Source organism: Homo sapiens, chromosome 12, assembly GCF_000001405.40.
Source record: "Homo sapiens chromosome 12, GRCh38.p14 Primary Assembly".
Lineage (NCBI taxonomy): Eukaryota > Metazoa > Chordata > Mammalia > Primates > Hominidae > Homo > Homo sapiens.
In genome coordinates, this window is record NC_000012.12 from 57,618,190 (window position 1) to 57,645,773 (window position 27,584).

Consider the following 27,584-nt stretch of genomic DNA (forward strand, 5'->3'; position numbering starts at 1 on the left):
ATAATAGGGAGGGATTCCTAAGGGGGGTACAGGATGTAGCGCCCAGATAAGACTTCTGCGGAACAATAGGAGGAACTGAAGAAGGGAGACCCACCCTCACTGCACCCCACCCCCCGGGCTTTGGGGTCGTGGACTGGGGGACCAGAGGATCATGGGGAGGGGTGCCGAAGATTCTTGTGAATGGGGGTGGAGGATCATGGCAAACAGCAGGATTCTGGAGTTAGAACCTTTATATTTCTTTAGGAACCATAGGGACACATGAGCGGGGTGGCTGACCCCTTTGAACTTAGTTTGACCACATATGTGCTTTTGAATGCCTACTTTGTGAACAGCATTTGTTTTTTGTTTGTTTGTTTTTTGTTCTTTTTGAGATGGAGTCTTGCTCTGTCGCCCAGGCTTGAATGCAGTGGCTCCATCTCGGCTTACTGCAACCTCCACCTCCTGGGTTCAAGCGATTATCCTGCTTCAGCCTCCTGAGTAGCTGGAATTACAGGCACCTGCCACCATAACCAGCTAATTTTTGTATATTTTAGTAAAGACAGGGTTTCACCATGTTGGTCAGGCTGGTCTCAAACTCCTGACCTCAGGTGATCCACCTGCCTCGGCCTCAAAGTGCTGGGATTACAGGCGTAAGCCATTTCACCTGGCCTGTGAAAAGCATTTGAATGTGATAAATGGTGCTTCAGTTTTTTTGGTTCCTAAGAAAAAAATATCCTGTGGGTTCAGTATTTCCCCTGAGGCCCTGAACTAGGCCCAGCCACTCCTCACAGAGGTGTGGGTGCTGGTTCTGTCATTATCCCTCTCCAATACATGTGGCTGCATTCCATGTCAGTAGGACATGAAACTGCTTTTTGGAACCAGCTGTGCCCCATGAAGATGTGGGTCTGGGTGAGGTTCAGGATGGGCGCTGAACTTTTTTGCTCTGGCTGGGAGAATGTAGTGGCTCAGGGAAGGACCAGTGACCCAAGAGGAACCAGCCTCTCTCTCCGCCCAAGGTGCCGATGGGGAAAGGAACCGGGAGTTAAGTGAAAAGTCTAAGGAAGGGTAAATAGCGGGTGTTGAGTGTCGGGGTGCGCTTGCCTTTCGGATTCTCTCTCTCTAATATCTACACATTTCCACAGCCACCCCAGAGCCAGCGATCAGATCCGGCCAAGGATGTCTGCAGAAACGCCTAACATAGAGACTCTCCCTCTCCAAGCCGCGGCTCTCGCCAGACCCGAGAAGGTCCTCAAGCGAGGGTGACCTCAGGGCCGGATTGGACCCTGCTTCGTGGGAGGCGGGACTCAGGGCTTAGCGGGCGGAGGAGTATTTAAGACCGGGCGGAGTTGGAGGTGGCCAAGGGCAGAATGAGCGGGATTCAGGGCACCAGGACCTACCCAGGCGCGGGGGACACCTCTGACCTTAAGTACCCCTTGGCGACCAGGCTCAGGGAAGCTCTCACCGAGGCTCGGTTCCATCAGCTCTTCAGGGGCGAAGAGCAGGAACCGGAGCTACCTGAAGAGCGCGGCTTTCCCCGGCTCTTCGGGCTGTGGAGGCTGCGGGCTCGCGCTTGTTCCGGGACAGGGGCGTGGCGCCTGCTGCTGGCTCGGCTGCCCGCGCTGCACTGGCTGCCCCATTACCGCTGGCGGGCCTGGCTGCTCGGAGATGCGGTGGCCGGAGTGACCGTGGGCATCGTGCACGTGCCCCAGGGTGAGAGGCCCTAACAGCAGCCTGTCGGGAGCACAAGCTCTAGAGGGCTTCCGGGAGGAGGCTTAGGGAGCTGGGAATCCGGGAGCAGATGGTGGGTTCCTACCGTCGAGGGTGGGAGAGAGGGATCTGAGGCCAAGTTTGAGGTAAGGACTGTGGAGCTCCATCAGATCCCCATCCCCACCTCCCCTCATCTGCGCAATCCTGCGAGAAGCCTTAGACAGGTTCTGGCTCAGAGAACCGGAGAGAGGCACAACGCCTGGCCCCCAGGACTTGGCCACAGCGTCCCTGACCTTGTCTGCTCCATGACCTCTCACTGAGGCCCATTAACCCCTCAGTTCCCTGATGAGGCTTGATTTAGCATCCTTGATGTCAGCTCCTAAGAGTCTGGGAAGTGCATTTAAGTCCTGGAGGTTGGACAAGGCCCCCTCCCCACAGCACACCTTTCCATCCACTTCTATCCCAGGCATGGCTTTTGCTCTCCTGGCCTCCGTGCCCCCGGTGTTTGGACTCTACACTTCTTTCTTCCCCGTCCTCATCTACAGCTTGCTAGGTACTGGGAGACACCTGTCCACAGGTGAGTGACCAGGGACTTCCAATGACTCTTCTTCCCTATGGGATGAAAATGGACAGGGGCTGTTATTTCCCTTCTTCCTAATTTCCCTCTTCACCTCTCCTACCTTCACCTCCCTCCTTGCCCAACCCTGCCAGGAAACTGACCTAGGCAATGCTTGCTAGAGTGGGTGCAAAGAGGTGGGAGTTTACCTGAACTTTTTTCCCCTATGAAATTTGGTTAAAATGAACATCTCAGGGACTTGGAAGGGGAAGAATAGGTGCATGGTCCCCCAAAGGGGCACGCAGTAGGCAGAGAATCTGCAGGAGGGAGCAGTTTTTGCCGGCTAGCGCAGCTCTTCGCGCCCCACAGTCTTGACGGGGCAGCAGCCTTCTTGGAGAGCCGAGTCTGGCAGCAGGATCTCGGACCCAAGGCATGGACCCTGAGCTGCTGCCCTGCCCAGGGCTGCACAGCTGGTGATGTCTGCATTTGTCCCCCGGCGGCAGGAACTTTCGCCATACTCAGCCTCATGACAGGCTCGGCCGTCGAGCGGCTGGTGCCGGAACCCCTCGTGGGGAATCTGAGCGGAATCGAGAAGGAGCAGCTGGACGCTCAACGGGTTGGGGTAGCCGCGGCCGTGGCCTTCGGGAGCGGGGCGTTGATGGTGAGGGAGGACCCGGGGAGGAACCCGGGGGGATCCCTGCTGAGGGGCCAGGGAAATTGGGCCGGGGAAGAGGGAGGGACCAGCTTTCGGCTTGGGTTCGGGAGGGCGGAGGTGCGCGGGGTTGGTTTGCTCCTCCTCTAGATGGTGACAGCGCGTCTTCTCCCCCACAGCTGGGGATGTTCGTGCTGCAGCTCGGCGTCTTGTCCACCTTTTTGTCCGAGCCTGTGGTCAAGGCGCTGACCAGCGGGGCCGCGCTGCACGTGCTCTTGTCCCAGCTGCCGAGCCTCTTGGGGTTGTCCCTCCCGCGCCAGATCGGCTGCTTCTCTCTCTTCAAGGTGGGGGTGGAAGAAGAAAGGAGAAGGGGCTTCTAGAGGTCCCGTGAATAGGGAAACTCGAAAAGGGAGGAAGGACGGAGGGTGGAGGGGTAGTATGTGACAAGGGAGCAGGAAAGGAGGTTGGAGCCACGTGGCTGAACGAGGGCGCTGAGGAGGTGTAAGCCCTGGTGGCACTGGGTAGAGAGGGCCTCGCTCTGGGGGTCCCGCGCCGGGGCGCATGAGCCCTGGCACGGGGCCCTCTGCTCATCGCCCCTGCCCTCAGACGCTGGCCTCCTTGCTGACTGCGCTGCCTCGGAGCAGTCCGGCCGAACTGACCATCTCCGCGCTCAGCCTGGCGCTGCTCGTGCCGGTCAAGGAATTGAACGTGAGATTCCGAGACCGGCTACCCACGCCGATCCCGGGGGAAGTCGTCTTGGTGAGGATGGCCGTGCGCGCCGGCCCCCTGCCCGCGCAGACCCTGCGGTCCTGTGGGAACTGGCCGCTGCCGCCCCCTGGTGGAGTGCAGAGAGGCCACGGAACAGAGGGCCGGCTCACACTTTCCTTGGCCTCCTGCAGAAGGACGCTTTGACCTTCCACAGCCCCCCTCGACACTGTCCCACGTCTCTCACGGAGCACCCCCTAGACCTCTTGGAGTTTCCTCTGCCATCCTACAGCGCTCCCTTGAGGTCTTGCTGGTCACAGCACCTTCTCTGACATCTGTCCTCACCAGGGTCCTTCCCTGTAATTCACAGTGCATCTCCCTCTCCACCCTCCACCGACATTTCTCTCTCTCCCCAACTAAATAAACGTTCCGCGTCTCCACAGATGCCAGTATATCACTAGATATCGTCCAGCTTCCCTCTTTGGAAGGCTCAGTGGCATCTCTTCATATCCACCATCCTTCACAGAAGCGTCCTCTTACTTCCACGGCTCCAGGCTCTGTGGCCTCAGGCATATGTCATCCCTCTTTCCCAGCTCTACACTACAAATCAGTTGTCAGGCCCTCATCCCAAACACATCCCCGCTCCCCCAGGTGCTGGGCTCCTGCAGCCAGCTAGGCCTGCATTATGGTCCTCTCTCATGGTCAGCCCCTTCTAGCTTCTGCCAGGGACCCCATCTCTTCCCATGCCTTCATTTTGCTCTCTTTTTCAGGTGCTTCTGGCCTCCGTGCTCTGCTTCACCTCTTCTGTGGACACAAGATACCAAGTCCAGATAGTGGGGCTGTTGCCTGGAGGGTAAGAGAATGAAAAGATGCCAGCTTTCTCTTCTCCCACCTCTCCCACCCAACACTCCCTCTTATCTCCACCCCCCATTTTCTCTGCCTTCCTTATCTCACTGAAGCACCTAACCCCTCCTCACCATGGATCCCTCCCTCTCCAGATTTCCCCAACCCCTCCTCCCCAACCTGGCTGAGCTGCCCAGGATTCTGGCTGACTCGCTGCCCATTGCACTGGTTAGTTTTGCGGTGTCTGCCTCCCTGGCCTCCATCCATGCAGACAAGTATAGCTACACTATTGACTCCAACCAGGTGGGACTCTGACTGTGGACCCCAACCCTCTCATTTGACTTCCCACCATGCCTTTGTCTCTCCCACTTCATCTCACTGTATCCCTCCAGGAGTTCCTGGCACATGGTGCCTCCAACCTCATCTCCTCCCTCTTCTCTTGCTTTCCCAACTCGGCTACGCTGGCCACCACCAATCTACTGGTGGATGCTGGTGGGAAAACACAGGTAAGAGGGCATCCTTGGATGAGGAGAAAGGATGGGCCATCCAGGCAAGGTGGCGGTGGTGGAGAAACAGGTGGAAGATGGCTAGAATCCCAGGTGGCACCTATATAGAGAAGACTGGGGATCTGTGAGAAAGGGTGACTGAGGGGATGGAATTATAGATAGGAGAGATGGAAGATAACAATGTTCCAGTAAGACCTTTGTAGGCTCTAAGCGCTGAAAAAGTTTATGGTGCCCCAGGTGTGGTTCAAAATAAAAACACAAAACTATAAAATAAACTTAAGAGATAAAATTCTTATTTTTTTCACACAATGACATTGTCTTTTAAAAGGAATATCACATATCAAAGTCTCCCCCTAATATTTTTGGTTTCCCTTACTTTGCTGGTGCCCTAAACACATATACCCTGCTTATAGGGTAACCCAACAGTGGCTTTTAAGGTGGAGGTGGGCTACAAAACTGGGGAACTTGAACAATGGACATCTACAAGGAGACTGGTGAATAATGGGCATTTAATTAATTGGGGGGAGCGGGAGGGTTAGATGTGAATGGCAGAATATTAAGAAGGGGGTTGTGTGGAAGGAGATTTGGGAGAAGGGAGACTTCCGAGGAAGATTAGGCAGAGTGGGCAGGAAGACCAGCTCTCATGTGGGGGTGGGAGGCTCTCTTCCTTTTTTGCTCCTGTTCCTCCTTTTCTCTAGCTGGCAGGCCTCTTCTCCTGCACAGTGGTCCTGTCGGTGCTGCTGTGGCTGGGGCCCTTCTTTTACTATCTGCCCAAGGTAATGAGCAGAGGAGGCATGAGCATGGCTGGGAGGGGTAGCTGTATTCCAGGACATCGAGGTAGTCAGCCCACCTCCTCTGCCTCAAGGCTGTCCTGGCTTGCATCAACATCTCCAGCATGCGCCAGGTGTTCTGCCAGATGCAGGAACTTCCACAACTATGGCACATCAGCCGAGTGGACTTTGTGAGAAATGCCATTACCCCCAGATTGCCCCCTCTCATCTTGTTAGCATCCCCAGCCTCTGCCCTGAACCAAACCTAATTGTCCTGGTCTTAAGTTCTGCAACCCACCCACTCCCCCAGCAAACATAACTCCTAGTATGCTTTACTCACAGGCAAGGGAAAGGATGGGGTTTGAACCCCTTTGGCCTGAATATTTGTAACTTCCCAACTGGTGCGGGTCATTACATTTGGTGTGTGTCCCATTGAATCAACCCTGTTGTTTCCTTCTGTCATGCTTTCCACTTCTTCCTGGATCATCTCTCCCCATCACTTGCCTTGGTAGTCACTGCCCTGGATCTCTTTACCCAGCAGTGATGGCCTGGCTTTTCTTTTGGGCAATCCACCCCTATCCCTATCCTGCAGGCTGTGTGGATGGTCACCTGGGTGGCAGTAGTGACCCTGAGTGTGGATTTGGGCCTGGCTGTGGGTGTGGTCTTCTCCATGATGACTGTGGTCTGCCGCACCCGGAGGTGGGCATAGAGATGAGTGGAGTTGAGGTCGGGGCAGGGGAAGAGAATGAGGTGCTTGGGGTGACTCTCCAGCCAGGCCAGGCTAAGCTGGAAATCTGGCCCCACCTTCTTCCCTAGGGTGTAGTGCCTGGCACTTGGACAGGCTGAGGGGACAGAGCTCTACAGACCACTCAGAGGAAGCCCCAGGGTGGGTGGGCTGCAGCCAAAGAAGGAAGGGAAGATTAGCCCCAGACATTTCTCTGATCCTTTGACCTCTTAGCTCCTCCAGGTCCCGGGGCTCTGCATCCTGAGCTATCCAACACCACTGTACTTTGGGACCCGTGGGCAGTTTCGCTGCAACCTGGAGTGGCACCTGGGGCTCGGAGAAGGAGAAAAGGTGAAGGAGCTTGGTTTAGGAGGGATGTGGATCCTCAGGGAGTGGGAGGCAGGTGGGTGTTCTGAGGGGGATCCTTGTGCTCAAGGGGTGCATGTTCATGCTGTGTTTCGGGAGTGGTGACTGCCCTTCTTTACTTATAGGAGACTTCAAAGCCAGATGGCCCAATGGTTGCAGGTGAGATGGGGTGACAAGAAGGAAGATTTGGGCATGTTGCATGGTGACACCTGGGTACTCCTGTCTTCTCCCATTCTAGTTGCTGAGCCTGTCAGGGTGGTGGTCCTAGACTTCAGTGGTGTCACCTTTGCAGATGCTGCTGGGGCCAGAGAAGTGGTGCAGGTGAGGGAGAGGGTAGGTTGAGGAGAAACCCCTTAGCATCTCACTCATACCCTCTGATCTGGGACTTAACCCCTTTGCCCCATCCCTGCAGCTGGCCAGCCGATGTCGAGATGCTAGGATCCGCCTCCTCCTGGCTCAGTGTAATGGTGAGATGTGTGGAGAAGAGCGGGGCCCAGTGCCTGGGCAATGACTGGACACCTGCGGTAGGGAAAAGGACCCGGTGTGGACTTAGGGTCTCAGAGTCTGACACCCTCCCCACATAGCCTTGGTGCAGGGGACACTGACCCGGGTAGGACTCCTGGACAGGGTGACTCCAGATCAGCTGTTTGTGAGTGTGCAGGATGCAGCTGCTTATGCCCTGGGGAGCCTGTTAAGGGGCAGTAGCACCAGGAGCGGGAGCCAGGAGGCACTGGGCTGCGGCAAGTGAGGCAGGGGTAAGTGGCTGGAGACCCAGGGAGAGGGGTTTGGGAAAGGGTCTGAGGAAGATCAAGAAGAAAAGGGTGGGGACGGAATGAATAGTAGATTGAAGACCAAATCAGGGAGCCCGGGCTGAGCTATGGGTGAGGAACTGAAGAACTCAGATCCCTAAGTAGGTGGGGTACCCCTGAGAGGACTGCCACATTTCATTAAGGAAGAGGGGTGCCTAATCTATTCCTGACATGTCTCCTCTCTTCTCCAGGAGCTCACTGACCCAAAGATTTGCACCGTGTGGGTCTGACCTCATCATGTGGAGTGCAGAGGGCCCTGATGACATGTGTGTGATGAGGACCATGACCCTTGAACCCCCTTACCTAACGTAACTAATAAAATGAAGCTGAGAGCTTTGGAATCCATGAAGTGAGTCTAGGTGTTTGCACAGGGACTCTGGTGCCCCTTCTTTTGTGCCCACAGCATTGCAGAGACACAACTAAGAATGGCTTTCACCAACCACCAGCCCTCACCCCAGCCCCAGAGCCACAAGTTCTCTCTGTGGGGGTGGGGCTGGAGCAGGTACACAGAGTACTGGATCTGAAGATGCAGATGAGGGGCACAGTCTTGGGATTATGTGTTGGGGAACTTCCCCACCCCCTCGGTCCCAAGATGAGAGGACAGTGTTTCCACCTTAGGTTCTTAGAGTCCCTCTGGGCTCTTTGGCACTTGGAAAGTGATCCCCCCATTTCCTGCCCCATGAGAATGGGCAGGGGGAGGACTTGGCACTGGCTGTGGGAGAGGTTATGGCTCCACCAGGCCTCTGGGCACTGGAAAAAGGAGGGGTGTCACCAGGACAACCCCTACTGGGCATCAGGTTCTGAAAAGGAAGAGTGAGGAACTAGAGGCTCAGGGACAGCCAGTAGAGTGCTCACAGGGTGGTGGGGTTTGTTGGAAATTCCTGGCAGGGACAAGGAGGCAGGCCCAGCCTGACAGTCAGAAATCCCCAGCGGGCCATCACTGGGAGGTCATGCACTGCAGCCGGTGTTTGAAGAAGAGCAGCCGGTGTTTGGCCATCTGGCTCTCGTCCAGTGATCCTGGGTAACGGTACCGGGCGTAAGTCTCTGCTCCGGCATCCCTTGATGTCCAAGGCAGCTTCAGTTTGGATGCATGATCCACCACGACGTCGGAGCAGGAGCCAACCCGAAGGGAACCAAGCCCATCCAAGAAGAATTCTGGGGGTGGAGGGGAGTACACAGTGAGGGATCCTGAGGGTGCAGAAGGCCGACTGGTAAGGGAGAACTCTCAAATTTAGGGTGTGGAAAGTGTGTGTGCAAAGGCTTGTTTCTAAGGACCCTGAGCATGTAAATCAACTCCCTGGGTCTCAGTCTTACTCTTGTGTAAATGGAGTCAATATACTTGTGCTTTGAAAATCGAAAAACCTACCCCTACTCCCAGAGGTTAAATAAACGCCAGATGGGTTGCACCGACTGTGGTCTGAACTAGGGGAAGCCCTGGGAGTAGAGCAGGGGTGGCGGGAACAGTGATGGGGAAGCTTATGGGGGCCCAGCGGCTGTGCTGGGAATGGAGATTCAACATGGCACATGTATACACATGTAACAAACCTGCACGTTGTGCACATGTACCCTAGAACTTAAAGTATAACAAAAAATATATATATTTATAAAAAAAAAAAAAGAGTATGCGGGGCTGGGAGAGGGTGGGAGCTGTCTCTCGCCCAGGTGCAGGTCTTGGTAAATCACTGCAGAACTGTTCTGGGGTTCCCGCTGGCGGCTGGGCGCGGGTGCAGCCTAGGAGGAGAGGCGCGTGACCGTGCGCCAGCTCCCCGTGGGGCTCCTGCCAGGGTCGACCGGGAGGGGGTGCCACTCACCCAGATGAGCCACGCGGCTGAGGCGGGGGTCGAAACCGACCTCGCGCACCTTGTCAGTCCGCGCCAGGAAGAAGTTAACCACGCCGTCGGTGACCACGCAGCCTGGGAAGCCGACGAGCTCGTGGTGGAAGCCGCGCCTTTGCCGGAGGCAGTTCCCGAGGCCTGGGGCGCCGGGCTCCACGCTCAGCAGCTGCCGATAAGTGGTGGCAAAGCCGGAGATCTCGCGCACCGCGCCCCCCACCTGCAGGGAGAGGGAGGTTGCCTCCAGGCGGGCCTGGGATAGGGGACCCGAAGGGGTCAAGGTCTGCGCTCCGGTGCCTTCGGGGGTACCCCTGCCCCATCCTCTTCCGCTTCACCCCTGCAGGACCCAGACAGTTCCCAGGCCCCACTTCGTGGTTCTCTCTTTGTCCTAGGGCTGGCCGTTCCTGGCCGCAGCGCCCCCGCTGTGGCCTTAGCCTGTTCAAGGCCCTTCTCCACCCCCACATCCTGCAGCCCCTGCCCTACCAGGTCCAGCGGCGTCCGCTCCAGCACGTCCACAAGCCTCTCCAGCCGCGTCCGCGCCGTGAAGACGAAGTCGTCGTCCACCCACAGCACGTACTTGGTGGTTACTTGAGACACGGCCAGGTTCCGGCCTGCGAACCAGCCCTGGCAGAAAGGTGTGTGTGGTTGGGGAGGCTGCAGAAATAGGACATGGCCCTCTGCCACCTTTCTTTCTCTCCCCCGACCCTTCTCAGCTTGTATTCTTCTCCAGACTTTTGAGTGCTTTCGAAAGGCCAGGAGCTAGGTAAAAGAAATGCAGATCCCCACAGAGGTTCCAAGTCAGTGGTCTTAGAATGCGTTTAATTTCCGTGTGCATTTATTTATTCATTCATCAGCTATTTTATTGAATGCCATTAGGCACTAAGCACCATTCTAAGAATTCAGAGAGAATTTCCTGCTCCCACGAAGCTTACATTCCAGGAATCCTCATGCTTAACAGGCACCCCATGATTCTGAGGCAGGTGGTCCTCGAATCACTACCCTGGAGGCTGCAGATTGAGGGCACACCCCCTGCGGGAGTCCTCTGGCCTGCCGTTCAGCCTGCTAGCTGCACACCTTGCCGAAGGGCATGAGATAGTGTTCCACGTAGGGGCCACTAACGCGCTCTGGCTTGTCGCTGTCGTCAGCGATGACCACGGTAACCGTTGGGTAGAAGCGGCGGATACTGGTGATGAGAGCCCGTAGCCGATCATAACGGAGGAAGGTCTTGGTGGCAATCGTGACTAGAGCGCTGATGTTGTACTGGGCTGAGATTGGGGGCACAGGGTTGGGTGCAGACAAGGAGGGTTGGGAGAGGGGAACAGGTAGATATCCCCTCCCAGGACTGCCCTCTCCCAACTTGCTCCCCACCAAGGCTGGTTCTAATATGTCCCTGCCCCTACCAGCCTCACCTCCCTGGGGTAGAGACCCAGGTGGGTACAGCCGAGGGTTGGGCGGGTGTCTTATGCGGATAGTGAAAGCAGCCTCATGTCCCTCGGTGGAGAACCGGACTGGGAAGAAAGGACATGGCATTTGACCCTGAAGGGTGGGATAACATTCTGTTTTCAGCCAATCAATATTTAAGTGCCTACTCTGTGTCCCACCTTTCTAGGCCTTGGTGGACAAGAACAGAAGGTTCTTACCTTTATGGAACTTACATTCTAATGGGTAGGAGAAAAAACAACAAAGAAAATTTTAAGTAAAAGCTAATCTTTATTGAGCACTTACTATGTGCCAGACCCGTTAAAAAATTACCTTAAATATATGCACTCATTTTATCCCCATGATAGCCCTATTAAGTAGATTCCTACAACAGAAAAAAAAGCTGAGACACAGAAAAGTAACTTGCCACATTTACACAACTATTAAGCAACAAAACTGATAGCAACCTAGTCAGTCTGGTGCCAGGCTAAGTAAATTAAAAAATTCAGATACTGGTAAGTATTGAGTGGAAAATAAGACAAACAAGTAATGTGATAGTGAAGAGGAGGCATTTGAACTGAGATCTAAATGACAAGAAGAAGCCAGTCTGCAAAAATCTGGGGAAGAGCATTCCAGGCTGAGAAAATAGAAAGTGCAAAGGCCCTAAGGTGGAAGCAAACTTAGTGCAACAAACCAGCTTTGGGGAGAAGCAAAGAGGGCTTTTAGGCCTCTTTTGCTGGAAGAGAAATGGGATCTCAGGAAAGTAAAGACCTTTGCCCTCTAGTAAGGGGTGGGTTGGGAATATAGTCTTCTAACTCCTTAGACAAGTCTCTTCCTGGGGCCCCCCACAGTTGGCCTAAAGGGGAGACACACCCAAGGCTCGGGTTTCCCTCTGGCCTGCTCCAGCCCCAGATGAACAAAGGCCCCCTTTCTCCCTCTGGCCCTGCTGGTCCAGTTGAAGCACCCATTGTGTGGCTGGACAGCTCTGGCCATAGCCCAGATGCCTCCCATGCCCTCTGCCATTTGCCCACTCCAGCCTTTCTGGTTCTTCTCTGTTTGCCCAGCCTGCCCGTCTCTCCACCCAGGCCTTGCACCTGTGTCTGCTGTGTTGGTCTGGTAGCTTCGGCTGCTGTAAGTGACCAGTTGTAGTTGCCTGTTGAGTTGGTCCAGCCCTGGGCTGACAAGGGTGAGATCTGCCTGACCCTCTCCAGTGAGAGTAACTCCAGTCACTTCCCCTGCCACGTCCCAGGTGCCTAGGGAGGCAGTCAGGTTCACCTAGGAGGGGATTGGAGAGTGCAGGGTTAGGCCCCAGACCCACTTCTTGCCTCCCTGATTCGCCCATCCTTCCCTTAGTAGCCCTGCCTCCCTCCCAGCATTCTTGATGCCTACTTGGCCTCCTTGCCTTCTTGTTTTCTCTCACCTGGTATACCTCCTGACCAGAAGCTGCCTGAAGGCTCAGCCCTAGGAGAAAGGAGTGGGGGGATCAGAATCACATAGGCAGCCCTGAATTCTTTCTCATTTTCTCTCCCTGCTGTCACCACACACAATAGAGAACTTTCCACCTATTCTTCTTATTGAGGCCTCAGCAGGGCACACTGTATAACATAGCCTACAGTGACTGATTTTTGAGCCCGTCCCGTCAAAGCTTGCCCTATGGCCTGCCCTGACCACCACCTAACCAATGGTTAGTCAGCAAAGAATAGATTATTTCCCCCAAAACTCCCCAGTTACAGTCTTCTGAAATTCCTAGAGTCCCTTCTGTCCTCACTTCCCACCTCCTAAGCCGCCGTTTGAGCTTAAGTCCCCCATTCATCAGAGGTTCCCACCTCCCATTCCAATCATCTCCCATTCTTCCCCACCCAACCTTGGGCTCTGCCACCCCCACTGTGGCTGAGGTCATCCTCTGGGACCCTCCTCCCTACCTGGCACCAAGATGCTCCTGAGGGGCTGAACTTCCACACCCTGTAGGGGGTACTGGAGCGGGGAGTTGGCAGGGGCTATGAGCAGCTGGTCAGCTGGGGACTGGCTCCTGGCAGTGGAGGAAGGAGAGGACAGAGCAGAGTCGGGGGGAGAGGGTCTCTCCCTCCCGGCACAATCACTGCTCTCCCCCTGAGGAGTCATGCGCTTCTTTCAAGCTGGTACCTCGACAGAAAGGCCTGGAACTCCTGCTCTCTTGTGGCAGAGGCAGCCCTCAGCTCTGCAGGGTCAAAGGCCTTGGTGAGGTCAATAGCTCGGACTTGTTTCTGGAAGGGGAGGGGGAGGCCCCCCCCACTGGACTCACAACTGCAGTTGTTCCAAGCCAGCAGCCTGAAGGGGGTAGGTAGTGAGGGTCATCAGAGCCCAGCTACACAGCTCCATTCATCCCATAAACACTGACACAGCACCCCACACCTTGGCCCTGCAATTCTGTCTGTCTAGGCTCTGTCCCCTTAAATGCTGCCCTTCAAATAGTCCTCGGGAGGGGGACCAAGGATCGGATGACCTATCCCCTAAATCTGGATTTTAGAGTTGTAGGATAGGGCCAATTACCAGGATTTCAGGAGCTGCCTACCCACCAACCAGGACCCCACCTGGAGTCTCTTCTCATACCTGAATCAGGACCTCAGGGAGTCTTTCAGGGCCCTCCCTTGACTGCACAACCTCCCACGCCCATCCCCATCCTTATCCCCATGGCAAGGTTCAGGGAGAACAGATTTTCCCCAGCCCAAGCCTCAGCAGCCTCCCACTTCCACCTCCCACTTCACTCCACACAGCCCGTTAGGAGAATGCAGGCATCTGAGCCCAGCAGTGGAGAAAACAAAAGCCCCCAGACCACCCCCAGCGAGCGCTGCGCTGCGCCGCCGCGGTCGGCACTCACCCCACTACTTGCTCCTTGATCCTGACCGGGATGTGTGCGTAGCGGGGCTCAGGAGCAAGATCTGGCAGCTCGGGCCTGCGGGGGCTTTGCGGGGGCGCCCACGGCGCAAGAGGTAGCCGGAGGCCGGGCGCGTCCCGGGTGCTCGCGTACAGGAGCCCCAGCGAGGCGCAGGCGAGCAGAAGGACCAGAGCGCACAGGGCCCGGCGGCCCAGCCACATCCTAGGTGGGGGTAGGGTGGGGAGTGAGAAAGGGAGGGAAGAAGGGAGGGCAAGGGATGGGGCCCTTGGCCCCCGCGTCCTCAGAGGCTCCTGCCGGCTCCCAAGAGCGCTCTCCACTCCACACATCGCGCTAGGGTTTGCACTGCCAGCCGCGGTTTTCCCGGTACCCCTCCCCTCACTTCCCAGGCCCCAGGGTCTCCCGGCCTCCTTTCTTCTCGCCCTCTCCTGCATCTCGGTTTCCTCACACACCCGAGGCCTGGCATCTTAATGCTGAAGACATTTGGATGCCGCGGTTTCGACGCGGCCGTGCGTAAGCGGAAAAGCCCCGCTCTATCAGGGCAGTGGCAGTCCCCAAGCCCGCCGCCCGCCCTGGCCGGCGCGCCCCCGACTCCTCAGTCTGAGCATCACCTGGGCCGGGGTGGGCTGCGGAGGGCGGCTCCACACCTAGCCTGTCAGGAAAAAATGCAGAATCATGCCCGTGCTGGCGGGCGCCCCCGGCGGAGGTGACCCGATGAGTGGCCTCGGCAAGCGGCGCGGGGGACAGAGTGGACCGGGAAGCGCGCCTCCTCCCGCCTCCTCCCGCCTCCTCCTCCTCCCCTCACCAACCAATCCCACCCCCACCCACCCCCGGGCACTGACCTGTCTAACGCTCTAAGGCAGCGGCAAAATTTCGGTCCGGGCTGTGCCGGGCTCTCGCCCCGGCCTGAGGGTCCTCATGGGGCTGGGGGCTGCCCGATGGGGGAGCTGGGCATGAGCCTGAGGGTGTGGGGGACCCTCCTGCCTCTGGAGCGCGCCCGATCCCTCCCGTCTTGGAACTCCCGGGGCTTTTGTGGAGCGCGGCGCGGTGGTGGTTCTGGGCGTTTCCTGCCCGGGGGCGGTTGGCGGGGCGCGAGGACCAAGTTAAGAGTCTGTTGCACCCCAGCCCCGGGGCAAAGCCGGGGATCCCTGGCTCCGCGTCCCACTGGCAGCGCGGGGAGGGCTCTGGCCGCCGCCCGGCTCTTCGCACCGCAGCGCAGCGCGGCTCAGCTCCCGGCTCGTTGCGGCTGCTTCGGCTCCGCGCGGGGAATGCGAGCGCCCCGGCGCCTTCTAGTGGGCGCGGAGGAAACTGCGGGGGCGCGGAGCAAACGCGGGAAGGTCCTCGCTCACAGCCCCCAGTCCTTAGCCTCCAAACACTGGCATCTCAACCGCCTGCTCCCACGACATCCATTCCATTGCCTGCTCGTTCTGAGCTTGTAGGCAAGGATGGGCAAATAAGGGCTTTGGGAGGAGGTAGGGCGGGGGCGCGCTAAAACTCAAGTCAAGTTTGAATGTTAGGATGAAGATAAAGGAAACAACCCCTGGAAAATAAACGCTCTGCCTGGCTAACAAAGACTGAGGCACAGCCTCCCTCTCCCCCTCCTCCCCGCCCTGCCCCCCATTATTTAACAGACACTCAAGAGATACACACTGGGTAATTGAAGGCCCTATTTCCCCGAACTGCCGCTTGGTGCAACCTTGCAGGAGGAAGGGAACCCCAGAGAGGCCAGATTGGCGGTAGTTCTGCTTGCAAGCCTTAGGTCATAGCCTGATACCTCACATTGCCGAGAATCGGAGTTCTGTGGCTCCGTGGTTCTAATAAAAGATGCATCAAGATTCAATAGGAAAAAAAGATATAACAAGAAATATAGAACATAACGAAAATATGTGTGTGTGTGTGTGTGTGGTGGATTATTGAATGAATGAATTTTATACAAACAAATGACTAATCAGCTGGGGTGAAAGTGGAATCTCTACACTTCTTACACCAAAATTCCAAATGTATTAAATATTTTAATATTAAAGGTGAAATCATAAAAGTAGTGAAAGAAATCATGAAACCCGGCGCAGTGGCTCATGCTTGTAATCTCAGCACTTTGGGAGGCTGCGATAGGAGACCAGGAGTTCGAGACCAGCCTGGGCAACATGGTGAGACCCCCCCCCCCCCCCGTCTCTACAAAAAATTTAAAAATTAGCCCAGCAAGATGGCTCACACCTGTAGTCCAACTACTTAGGAGGCTGAAGTGGGAAGATTGCTTGAGCTCGGGAAGTTGAAGCTGCAGTGAGCTGAGATGGTGCCATGGCACTGTAGCCTGGGTGACAGAGCGAGACTCTGTCTCAAAAGAAGAAATCATGGAATTTTTGTTTTGTTTATGATCTTGGAGTAGGGAAGAGATCTCTAAGCCAGATGTAAAGGGAAATATTAATAAATCTGACTATATGAAAAACTTGAGTGAAGAAATTAACATACACTAAATTTGAGAGAGAAATGACAAACTGTGAAAAAATATTTGTAACATATAAGACAGGTATACTTTATCTGGTTGGTGCCCCCAGCGGAGATGACCAGGAATGAATTATGAACCATTGAAAACATAGGAATCCATGACTCCACACTGATAATACATAGATAATTAATTAATTAATTAATTAAATGAATGAAGGAGAAGGGAGAATGCCAATTAATAAATGTGGAGGGAGCTGATGGAGTTGGAAAATAACTATTTTTTAAAATTTTATTTTATTATTATTATACTTTAAGTTTTAGGGTACATGGGCACAATGTGCAGGTTAGTTACATATGAATACATGTGCCATGCTGGTGTGCTGCACCCATTAACTCGTCATTTAGCATTAGGTATATCTCCTAAAGCTATTCCTCCCCCCTCCCCCCATGAAAATAACTATTTTGCAACCATCAGAGTAAAAGTTGGTTTGGGCAAGAATTATCAATGAATGCTAATTCTAGGGGGAAAGTTTGACAGAAGCAGCTTATGTACGTAGCTTAAAGTATCTCCCCATAGTTGGCTTATTCGTTGCAAGAGGAAAAATTGTAACCGCGCAGTGGGAAAAGCAGACAGCACCTTGACTTGCTGGCCAAAATTAACATCACCAATGAGGGACAGAAGAATATCATGTGCCTCCAGAAATGTTCCCCGGAGAAAGCATGACATCATTTATGTAGTGATGTGGCTGGGAATACATAACTTGATTTTAAATACAAAGAAACAGACAGACCCCAAGTAAGGAATATTTTCTCTGTATAAAAGAAACAGGCTGGGCACGGTGGCTCATGCCTGTAATCCCAGCATTTTGGAGGCCGAGGTGGGTGGATCACTTGAGGTCAGGAGTTCGAGACCAGTCCGGCCAACATGGTGAAACCCTGTCTCTACCAAAAATACAAAAATTAGACGGGCATAGTGATGAGTGCCTGTAATCCCAGCTACTCTGGAGGCTGAGGCAGGAGAATTGCTTGAACCCTAGAACCCAGAGGTGGACATTGCAGTGAGCCAAGATCGCACCACTGCACTTCAGCCTGAGTGACAGAGCGAGACTCTGTCACAAGAAAAAAAAAAAAAAGAAACTTAATACAAAAATTAGCCAGGCATAAGCTGGACATGGTGGCTCACACCTGTAGTCCCAGCTACTTGGGAGGCTGAGGCATGAGAACCACTTGAACTTGGGAGGCAAAGGTTGCAGGGAGCCAATATTTCGCCACTGCACTCCAGTCTGGGTGACAGAGCAAGACTCTGTCTCAAAAAAAAAAAAAAAAAGAAAAAGAAAAAGAAACTGGCTAGTAGTTTTTAAAAATGTCGGTCATGAAAGACAAAGAATGAGGAACTGCTCCAGATTAAAGGAGACTACAGAGACATGACAACTCAATGCAATATGTGATCCTAGATTAAAAGTGATATAACAGACATTTTGGGGGACTATTTAAAAAATTGGGGCCAGGTGAGGTGGTTCATGCCTGTAATCTCAGCACTTTGGGAGGCCAAAGTAGGAGGATCGCTTGAGATCAGGCCTTTGAGACCAGCCTGGGCAATATAATGAGATTTCATCTTTACAGAAATTTATTTTTATTTTTATTTTTTGTAGAGATGGAGTCTTGCTATGCTGCCCAGGTTGGTCTTCAACTTCTAGCCTCAAGCAGTCCTTCTGCCTGGGCCTCCTAAAGTTTTGGGATCACAGGTGTGAGCCACCTGGCTGGGCTACAAAAACTTTTTAAAAAATTAGCCAGGTATGGCAGCACGTGGCTGTAGTACCAGCTACTTGGGAGGCTGAGGTGGGAGGATTCCTTGAGCCTAGGAGTTTGAGGCTGCAGTGAGCTATGATTGCACCACTGCACTCCAGCTTGGGTAACAGAGCAAGAACCTATCTTTTTTTTTTCTAAAAAAAAAAATTGGAATATGGAAAGTTGATCGGATAAACGTTGTTTTATCTTTGTTAAAAGATAAATGGTAAATATTAAATTTCCCAAAGTTGGTAACCGTGGATATGTAATAAAATATCCCTGTTCTTAGAGAATATGACCTAAAGTGTTAAAGGGTAAAGTGGAAGGATGTCTGCAATCTACTCTCAAATTGTTCAGAAAAAATAAATAATAGTAATGTGTATGTGATACATTTATATAATATATATGTGTGGTATATATAATGTATAATTTATATTTTATTGTTAATTTGATAATTAATCACATTTATTATAAATTATATAGAATTATATATAGAGAGAAAATGATAAAATGTGACCAAATGTGAAAAATTGGTGAAGCTGAATAAATGATACGTGGGAGTGCTCTGTATTATTCTTTAAATATCTAAGTTTGAAATTATTTCAAAGTAAAAATAAAAAGAAAAAAATCACTCCTTTATTTACTTTAGTTGAAAGTGAGTGTTGGCCAGGTGCGGTGGCTCATGCCTGTAATCTCAGCACTTTGGGAGGTGGAGGCGGGCGGATCATCTGAGCTCAGGAGTTCGAGACCAGCCTGGCCAACATGGTAAAGCCCGTCTCTACTAAAAATACAAAAATTAGCTGGGCGTGGTGGCTGGCGCCTGTAATCCCAGCTACTCCAGAGGCTGAGGCAGGAGAATGGCTTGAACCCAGGAGATGGAGGTTGCAGTGAGCCGAGATAATGCCATTGCACTCCAGCCTGGGTGACAAGAGTGAGACTCCGTCTTGAAAACAAACAAAAAAGAAAGTGAATGTCTATTTAATAATTTGGTGACGGTACTGAGAAATTGTTTTAGCGTGTAACTGTCACGCTTTCTAAAAACTAAAGTTTTTTCATAATGAAATATTAATAATTAAAACTTTCTAATAGAACTTCATATTAGTTCTTGTATCTCAGCATTTCATTCTATGATGGTGATATTTAGCCTCAGCTGAATACCGAAATACTGATTTTAATTCTCTCTCTCTTTTTCTCATGTTTTGTAGACATTAAGACTTTTTTTTTTTTTGAGATTTGAGTCTCTGTTGCCCAGGCTGAGGGGCAGTGGTATGATCTTGGCTTACTGAAGCCTCCACCTCCTGGGCTCAAGTCCATCTCGGCCTCCAAGTGGTGGAACTACAGGTGCTCACCAACACGCCCAGCTGATTTTTTACTTAGTGTATTTAGTTGTCATGTCTTTTTGTTTCCTCATCTTTGAGGATATTAAACATACTTACAGTGGGCCCTCTGGGTTCAACAAGTGCAGTTCTGCCACCTGCTGATCAAAAATATTTGGAAAAAAATAACAATATAGCAATTGAAAATAATACAAATTTTAAAGTGTAACAACGATTTGCACAGCATTTACATTGTATTAGGTATAAAGAAACTAGAGATGATTTAAAGTATAGAAGAGTGTGTACATAGATTATATATAAATAATATACCATATCATATAAGGAACTTAAGCATTCTGGGATTTTGGTACCTGCAAGAGTCTTGGAACCAATCCTCTGCAGATAATTGAGAAATGAGGGATGACTATATTTAATTTTTTTTCTCCAGTTGATCTATTATTTCTGTTTACTCTAGAATAAATTATCTTGTGTATTAATATTTTTATCTTTCATTATGTTAATTTTCATGAAGAGCTTTGAAATTTTAGTTTGCTAGCTTGTTTTTTGTGTGTGAATTTCTTGTACGTGTGTGTCCTTGTTAGGGTTCATTGTAGCTGACAGAAACATTGTAGATGACAGGGGTTTATTTCTTGGTATTAGGGGGCTTACAATGTGATTTGGGGCCTGGTTTTTTTACGCCATGGGTGATAGTGCTTCCCCAGGCTTTTGGAAATATGTGGGGCCATTTTGGGTTGTCATAATAGCTGGGCCAGCTGCCAGCAATTGGTGGGCAGGTGTCAGCTGAGCTAAATGTCCTATGATGAACAGAACAAGCCTATGCAACAAAGACTTGCCCTTCCCTAGACACCGATAGAAACTCAATGGAGAAGCACTGCTTTAGGCGGAACTTCTAGAAACAGCTCCCTGCCTCCAGAATCACACAACTCTGTTGGTATCAGCAAAACTGGGGTCACAACTGCAGCAAGCTCTCTCTCTCTCTTTTTTAATATGCAGTCTCACTGTGTTGCCTAGGCTGGAGTGCAGTGGTGTGATCTTGGCTCACTGCAACCTCTGCCTCCTGGGTTCAAGTGATTCTCCTGCCTCAGCCTCCCAAGTAGCTGGGATTACAGGCGCCTGCCACCATGTCCGGCTAATTTTTTGTATTTTTAGAGGAGACAGGGTTTCACCATGTTGGCCAGGCTGGTCTTGAACTCCTGACCTCAAATGATCCACCTGCTTTGGCCTCCCAAAGTGCTGGGATTACAGGCATGAGCCACCATGCCCGGTGCAGCAAGCTTTCAAAACCAGGAAGCTACTACTAGCTGAGGAACCCCAATGCCTCTGCCACAATTTACATTAGAAAAGCAGACACCTTCCACTCAAGGTCCTCCCACGTTCTCCCATTTAAGCCCTATCCCAATTCAGATTTCTCAAGTGTGCACGTGATTGACACAAGGAACGCTAGCTCAGAGGGAGTTCAGAAAATGCAGTTTTTCATACTCCAGCAGAGTCAGATTCATTAGGAAAAGATTGTAATGGGTGCTAAATTTGCCAGTCCACTTTGGAGTTGTAGGTTTCCCTCTCTCCCCACTGCATGCCTTCATGTTAAGTGGTGCCAAGCCTGTCTCCACAGCCTAGAATTTACATTTGACAGGCAGGGGGATTACATTTAAAAAAAGAAATCCAGGCCAGGCGCGGTGGCTCACGCTTGTAATCCCAGCACTTTGGGAGGCTGAGGCGGGCGGATCACGAGGTCAGGAGATCGAGACCACAGTGAAACCCCATCTCTACTAAAAATACAAAAAAATTAGCCAGGCGTGGTGGCGGGCACCTGTAGTCCCAGCTACTCAGAGAGGCTAAGGCAGGAGAATGGCGTGAACCCGGGAGGCGGAGGTTGCAGTGAGCCAAGATTGCGCCACTGCACTCCAGGCTGGGCGACAGAGCGAGACTCCATCTCAAAACAAACAAACAAACAAAAAATCCAGACAGTATGTTGCTTGATCCTACCCCCAGCCAGCTGTAGGCAAAGTCCAATTCTGCATGGCAGCCTAGAGGGCTGGGGACAGGGCTGGGCTAGCCTTGTCCTCTCTGCTCTTCTCAATCACTCTAGGCAAGTGGCTCTGGATGGATGGATGGAGCCCGGCTAGCAGTCACAACGTTATACAACCCCCTGTCATGCATCAGAACATCCAGTGAGTTTTCCAAAAGACCTGGGTTCCTGGCAGGTGCTGTTTCTTGTCGTGTAGCCCAGCAGACCTGTGACTTAAGCCCCCAGCTGTTATCTTTCCCTTAACAATTCAAAGGATGCTTATTTTGTTTATTGAACATGGCTTGTCTTTTTAATACATATTTGGGATATATTATCTGTCATTTTAATTTGATCTGTTTGGAGTGAAGGAAGGATTTTCCCTTGAATTTACTCAACCATTTTTGATGGAAGTGACCCTACAAATTGTCTACTTATAAACTTTTTTTTTAAACAGGAAAGAAATTATACTATACACGTGGAACCCCATACTGCTTTTTTACATGACACATATATCTTGGAGGTCTCTTTATAAAAGCACATGAAAATGTCTCATTTAAAATTTTGCATATTACTACATCAAATGAATATATTAATTAACACTTCCTTTTCATGACAAACAGTGCTGCAATAAACATACTTGGTGAACTGTTATAAATATGCCTGATCTATTTAAACTGAATGCCAATTATTATGTCATTGTTCTTTAATTTAGATTTTTTGCTTAGATTACAGCAAAGACCAAGTTCAAAGATGTCAATCAGAAGAGGCAACCAAGAAAACTGTGAGCCAGTTAATGCTTGCCATACACACATTTATTTGCACTCAACAAGTTAATAAAAATCAGTGTATTGCTCAATTAGCTGGCGATGAGAACTAACAAAAGGGAAGCCCCATGCTACTTTAGTGCCAGGATTTGGTCAGCTTTTCTTGGCTGTTTTCATCAAAGTATTCTTTTGCTCATGGATTTTGTTTACCCTAACCAGCACGAGGGAGTCGTAAAGACCTCACGACTTACATGAAATTGTCCAGTTACTCCAGAGAGACGCAGGGACAGTAGTGCTCTTGTCCTCCAGTGTTTGGTGGCAGGCTGGGATTTTTATGCTCGCTTGGGCTTTGGGTGTTTCAGACATGGCTTACATTCTATTGGTTCAATATTATATGATACTTCTGTGAAAGGAAAATAAGTCTTGGGCCCCCCCAAATCACTAAGTTAAAGGACAAAGTCAAGCTGGGAACTGCATAGGGCAAGGCTGCCTCCCATTCTATTCAAAGTCACCCCTCTGCTCACTGAGATAAATGTATATCTGATTGCCTCCTTTTGAGAGGCTAATCAGAAATTCAAAGGAATACAACCATTTGCTTCTTATCTACCTATGACCTGGAAGCTCCCTCCCCGCTTTGAATTGTCCAGCCTTTCCAGACTGAGCTAATGTTCATCTTACATATGTTGATTGATGTCTCATGTCTCCCTAAAATGCATAAAAACCAAACTGCTCTGACCACCTTGGGGACATGTCATCAGGACTTCCTAAGGCTGTGCCACAAGCATGTGTCCTCAACCTTGGCAAAATAAACTTTCAAAATTAACTGAGACCTGTTTCAGATTTTTGGGGTTCACATTTTGGTAACCATGGGGGGATTCTGAGTGGAGATGCCCCTGACCTTTGACAAATCTATCAGTGCTTGGGACCAGCATGAGCTAACTTCATGGCTCAAACCAATAGGACAATTTGCTGAGGCCTAAGAGCACCCCCTCCAGAAAATCCCTGATCTCCCCAAATTTGGTTGAAATCTAAAGTTTATTTTGCTGTGCAACTCCTCTTATTTTTTGGAGTTTTACTGCTTCCAATAAGGAAGGCAAGATTTCCTGTTTCCATGATGATGGAAGGCAGGTAACTCCTTTATAGAGTTTCAGCTCGCTTCCAACAGGGAAGGTGAGTTTTTTTTCAGGCTTCTAAAGTGGTAGAGAGCAGTCTACAGCCTGAGACCCATCCCTAGGTAAGTAACTGAATTGAGGATTGTCGTGGCTAAAGTGAAAATTAACAACCAGCTGGTCTTAATTTCTCCTTACCATTAGAGCACTAAGTGATCACATAAGTTTACCTATTTTTGTTGTTGTTGTTGTTTGTTTGTTTCTGTTTTTGTTGTTGTTTCGGTCTTTTTCCCATTGGGTTTGGTCAACTCTATCCAACTTGATCAAATACAAAGGAAGTTCCAAATTATGGGGAACAAGTCCTCTGAACTGCCTAAATTCCCCCACACACAAAAAAGGTGGTGTGGTGGGGGCAAAAAATGGCCAGCAAAAGAAAAAAAAGGAGGAAAGATTTTTTATTTTGACTACAAAAGGGGCTTTATTTACATAACAAGGCCACCTTTTGCTAGCCAGGCCAAAGTGAAAGCAATGACTGTTACCCCGTGCTACAGTTTGATAGCTAAGGTTCTACTTTCTTTTTTCCACCATGACAGCCTGGGTTTTTGTTCCTAAATCAAGCCCTTTCTGGTTTGATACTTGGTACTTCTGAAATAGCAGCAATTTGTCCTAGCTGAAATATGATAATGATACAGGAGGTAGAAAGAAATTATTTAGGCAGATAGTGAGGGCAAAAGAGTCCTCGGCAGAGCTTCCCCTCTAACAGTAAGCAGTCCCCCAAAATCATTTTTTTTCCCTAAAACAGAGAAGCCTGAAAAATCGAGCTGCAAACATAGATAAGCAAGCTGGAAGCTTGCACGGGGGAATGCTGGCAGCTGTGTCAATAGAAAAGGGCTACCTGGGGACCAAGCATGTCCAACATGGAGGCTCCATCTTCCCTTTTTTGTTAGGATGTGTACAGTAAGAAAGAAATGGGTAACATGGCACAGCTCAGGCGGATAACCCATCTGCATAATAAAATTTTAGGAGGCTGGGCATGGTAGCTCACACCTGTAATCCCAGCACTTTGGGAGGCTGAAGTAGGAGGATCACTCGAGTGCAGGAGTTTGAGACAAGCCTGGGCAACATGGCAAAACCTGTGTCCACTAAAAATGCGAAAAATGAGCCAGGCATGGTGGTGCATGCCTGTAGTCCCAGCTACTCAACAGGCTGAGGAGGGAGGATCACCTGAGCCCAGGAAGTCGAAGCTGCAGTGAGCCGAGATTGCACCTAGTTAACCAGAGTGAGACCTAGTCTCAAAAAAATAAAATAAAATAAAGATTAGGATGGAGGCTACCAGAGATTCATGCCCTATGCAAATGGCACATCTGGTCCTAACCAGTTTTTTGCACTCTATGTAAATCAGACACCGCCTCCCCATCAGCTCATCTATAAAACTCCCTGCATTTCACTGTGGATCCAGCAATCCATTTTTCCAGGACCCCTTTCTGTAGCAGAGAGCTATTCACTTTCTTTTGCCAATTAAACGTCCATTCTCTTTTTTTTTTTTTTGAGACGGAGTCCCTGTCTGTCGCCCAGGCTGGAGTGCAGTGGCGCAATCTTGGCTCACTGCAACCTCCGCCTCTTGGGTTCAAGTGATTCTCCTGCCTCAGCTTCCCAAGAACCTGGGATTACAGGCACCCACCACTACACCTGGCTAATTTTTGTATTTTTAGTAGAGATGGGGTTTCACCATGTTGACCAGGCTGCTCTCGAACTCCTGATCTCAGGTGATCTGCCTGCCTTGGCCTCCCAGAGAGCCGGGATTACAGGCATAAGCCACCGCGCCGAGCGTTTTTTTTTTTTTTTTTTTTTTTTTTTTTTTTTGGAGACAGAGTTTAGCTCTTGTAGCCCAGGCTGGAGTCAATGGTGTGATCTTGGCTCACTGCAACCTCTGCCCCCTGGGTTCAAGCAATTCTCCTGCCTCAGCCTCCCAAGTAGCTGGGATTACAGGTGCCTGCCACCACACCCAGCTAATTTTTGTATTTTTAGAGGAGACAGGGTTTCACCATGTTGGCCAGGCTGGTCTCGAACTCCTGACCTCAGGTGATCCACCCACCTTGGCCTCCCAAAGTGCTGGGATTACAGGCATGAGCCACCACGCCTGGCCCTAAACTTCCATTCTTAACCTCACTCTTGTGTGTTCGTGTCCTTGATCTTTGTGGCTGTGAGATAATAAACCTTGGGTATCACCCCAGACAATAAGGCTGCTTCAGTAATGAGATTTAAAAAAAATTTTTGTTTTTGAGATGGAGTCTTGCTCTGTTGCCCAGGCTGGAGTGCAGTGGTGCAATCTCAGCTCACTGCAGCTTCCACCTCCCAAGTTCAAATGATTCTCTTGCCTCAGCCTCCCAAGTAGCTGGGACTACAGGTGAGTGCTGCCATGCCTGGCTAATTTTTTGTATTTTTAGTAGAGATGGGGTTTCACCATGTTAGCCAGGATGGTCTTGATCTCCTGACCTTGTGATCTGCCAGCCTCAGCCTCCCAAAGTGCTGGGATTACAGGTGTGAGCCACCGCGCCTGGCCTAAAAAAAAAAACAAAAAAAAGAAAAAAAATTTTTTTAAAGCAGCTTAATGGTTAAAGTCAGCTTAATTAAAAGCTAACATCCAAAATGTATGTGTGTATGAGAGCGTGTGTATGTTTGTATTTAAAAGGCCTTCATGTTCGTTTTTTTTTTTTTTTTTTGAGACGGAGTTTAGCTCTTGCTGCCCAGGCTGCAGTGCAATGGCATAATCTCGGCTCACTGCAACTTCCGCCTCCTGGTTTCAAGTTATTCTCCTGCCTCAGCCTCCCAAGTAGCTGGGATTACAGGCACTCCACACCATGCCTGGCTAATTTTTTGTATTTTTAGTACAGATGGAATTTCACCATGTTGGTCAGGCTGGTCTTGAACTCCTGACCTCAGGTGATCCACCCACCTCAGCCTCCCAAAGTGCTGGGATTACAGGCATGAGCCACCACGCCCGGCCCTCTCTGTATCTTATGATGTAAATTTTGCTATTTAATTTTCACCTGGGTTATTTCCTTTAATATGCAAATTTAAGTCTGTTTTGCTAACAACTGCCTAGGGTTGTGAAGCAGGTTATCAAGAATCTGAAAGTCTAAGACAGGGGGAAAAAAAGGGTTTTTTGAATCTATAAGATGTACCTTGATAGGCATGAAATACATGCACATCTATGTATTTATGTGTTGTGTACACAATGTTTCACTACTGAAAATATATAAAAGAGCTCTAATTAATTGGCTTAAAGAAAAGTAAAAGTGCTTGAATCATATACTTTATCAAGAAAAAAGAAAAGACTAGTCAAATGCTTTTTCAAGTTTACAGAACTTAAGTAAAATCTTTAATAAATAAACTAGCTTTAAAATTATTGGTAAAATAATATTAGAAATGTCATAAGAATTGCCAGCATACATTTTTATTTGCATTTCTTAATCAAGCAATTTCATACTTATCCCTGCCAAATACTATAAGTTGTCAAAACTTGGCATAGGGCTTACAAAATTATAAACCTAGCCCAAGACAGAATAAAACTTTGCTTGTATAGTCTTTAATAAATAAGACATTGATATTGGTTTAATGAAAATAACTACATCTTGAATTATTTAATAAAATTACCATAACTTCTAATTCTGTGACTTTAGGCAGTCTAGTCCACAGGTAGTAATGAGGTTTGTTTTGGGAAAGAACTGCTATTTGTTTGAACTGCTATTAGTTTAGCTTTGTCTGAAAGCTAAACTATAAGCTAAGTTCCTCCCAAAGTCCAGGATGAGCAAGGGCAGTTTGGAGGTTAGAAGCAAGATGGAGTCAGTTAGGTTAAATCTTTTCACTGTCTCAGTTATAATTTTGCAATGGTGGTTCCATAACTTTAAACAATGACTATTGCAGTTTTCATAAATAATCTAGATAAAAAATTAGGCCAGGCATGGTGTCTCACACCTGTAATCCCAGCACTTTGGGAGGCCGAGACAGGTGGATCACTTGAGGTCAGCAATTTTAGACTAGCCTGGCCAACATGGCAAAACCCCACCTCTACTAAAAATACAAAAAAAAATTAGCCAGGTGTGGTGGCGCATGCCTGTAATTCCAGCTATTCAGGAGGCTGAGGCAGAAGAATTGCTTGAACCCAGGAGGCAGAGGTTGCAGTGAGCCAAGATCATGTCCCTACACTCCAACCTGGGTGACAGAGTGAGACACTGTCTCAAAAACAAACAAACAAAAAACAATTAAAATAAAATAATTAGGTAATTGTAATTGGATACATACTTATAGACAAACTTGTCATAATTTAGAATCTAAATTATATTAAATTACATAATAGATATTTCATTATTTGGGTATTTTCCAATAAAAA

General features: G+C 50.0%; 1 protein-coding gene, 1 long non-coding RNA gene and 1 pseudogene across 28 annotated transcripts, besides 4 other annotated features; 1 reads left to right on the top strand and 2 right to left on the bottom strand.

The window, feature by feature from the left end:
- On the bottom strand, positions 216-3,714 carry LOC101927583 (uncharacterized). Its single transcript, NR_120450.1, has 4 exons — positions 2,452-3,714; positions 1,442-2,298; positions 551-648; positions 216-441 (listed from the first exon to the last, which is right to left on the bottom strand). It is a non-coding gene; the product is annotated as an uncharacterized LOC101927583 (long non-coding RNA).
- On the top strand, positions 1,338-7,962 carry SLC26A10P (solute carrier family 26 member 10, pseudogene; annotated as a pseudogene). Of its 2 annotated transcripts, NR_166679.1 has the most exons (16): positions 1,338-2,263; positions 2,746-2,903; positions 3,074-3,238; positions 3,501-3,653; positions 4,370-4,452; positions 4,598-4,745; positions 4,835-4,948; positions 5,647-5,724; positions 5,814-5,909; positions 6,311-6,417; positions 6,677-6,793; positions 6,934-6,967; positions 7,047-7,129; positions 7,221-7,275; positions 7,393-7,563; positions 7,809-7,962. The product of NR_166679.1 is annotated as a solute carrier family 26 member 10, pseudogene, transcript variant 2 (transcript). The 2 variants fall into 2 exon arrangements; NR_166678.1 differs by lacking the exon at positions 6,311-6,417 and having other exon boundaries at positions 7,047-7,141; positions 7,393-7,962.
- Positions 1,569-2,135: an enhancer, noted in NCBI's record as "H3K27ac-H3K4me1 hESC enhancer chr12:58013541-58014107 (GRCh37/hg19 assembly coordinates)". NCBI's record gives its function as "activates a minimal SCP1, AML or CMV promoter by ChIP-STARR-seq in naive H9 embryonic stem cells {active_cell/tissue: H9 hESC(naive)}" and the evidence as "EXISTENCE:reporter gene assay evidence [ECO:0000049][PMID:30033119]".
- Positions 2,273-3,092: an enhancer, noted in NCBI's record as "H3K27ac-H3K4me1 hESC enhancer chr12:58014245-58015064 (GRCh37/hg19 assembly coordinates)". NCBI's record gives its function as "activates a minimal SCP1, AML or CMV promoter by ChIP-STARR-seq in naive H9 embryonic stem cells {active_cell/tissue: H9 hESC(naive)}" and the evidence as "EXISTENCE:reporter gene assay evidence [ECO:0000049][PMID:30033119]".
- Positions 5,220-15,012, bottom strand: B4GALNT1 (beta-1,4-N-acetyl-galactosaminyltransferase 1). 25 transcript variants are annotated; one of them, NM_001413983.1, is made up of 13 exons: positions 14,583-15,012; positions 14,352-14,392; positions 13,726-13,944; positions 13,150-13,175; positions 13,011-13,065; positions 12,791-12,897; positions 12,289-12,329; positions 11,963-12,143; positions 10,859-10,957; positions 10,524-10,714; positions 9,933-10,073; positions 9,429-9,669; positions 5,220-8,772 (listed from the first exon to the last, which is right to left on the bottom strand). In NM_001413983.1, the coding sequence occupies exons 10-13, from the start codon at positions 10,536-10,538 to the stop codon at positions 8,555-8,557; spliced, it is 615 nt and encodes a 204-aa protein (NP_001400912.1). In that variant the 5' UTR covers positions 10,539-10,714; positions 10,859-10,957; positions 11,963-12,143; positions 12,289-12,329; positions 12,791-12,897; positions 13,011-13,065; positions 13,150-13,175; positions 13,726-13,944; positions 14,352-14,392; positions 14,583-15,012; the 3' UTR covers positions 5,220-8,554. The 25 variants fall into 25 exon arrangements, with proteins under 25 accessions (NP_001400912.1, NP_001400913.1, NP_001400911.1 ...); NM_001413984.1 differs by lacking the exon at positions 14,352-14,392; NM_001413982.1 differs by lacking the exon at positions 14,352-14,392 and having other exon boundaries at positions 9,429-9,702.
- Positions 14,242-15,203: an enhancer, noted in NCBI's record as "H3K4me1 hESC enhancer chr12:58026214-58027175 (GRCh37/hg19 assembly coordinates)". NCBI's record gives its function as "activates a minimal SCP1, AML or CMV promoter by ChIP-STARR-seq in naive H9 embryonic stem cells {active_cell/tissue: H9 hESC(naive)}" and the evidence as "EXISTENCE:reporter gene assay evidence [ECO:0000049][PMID:30033119]".
- Positions 14,746-15,045: a silencer, noted in NCBI's record as "silent region_4587". NCBI's record gives its function as "represses an Ori minimal core promoter by ATAC-STARR-seq in GM12878 lymphoblastoid cells {active_cell/tissue: GM12878}" and the evidence as "EXISTENCE:reporter gene assay evidence [ECO:0000049][PMID:35858748]".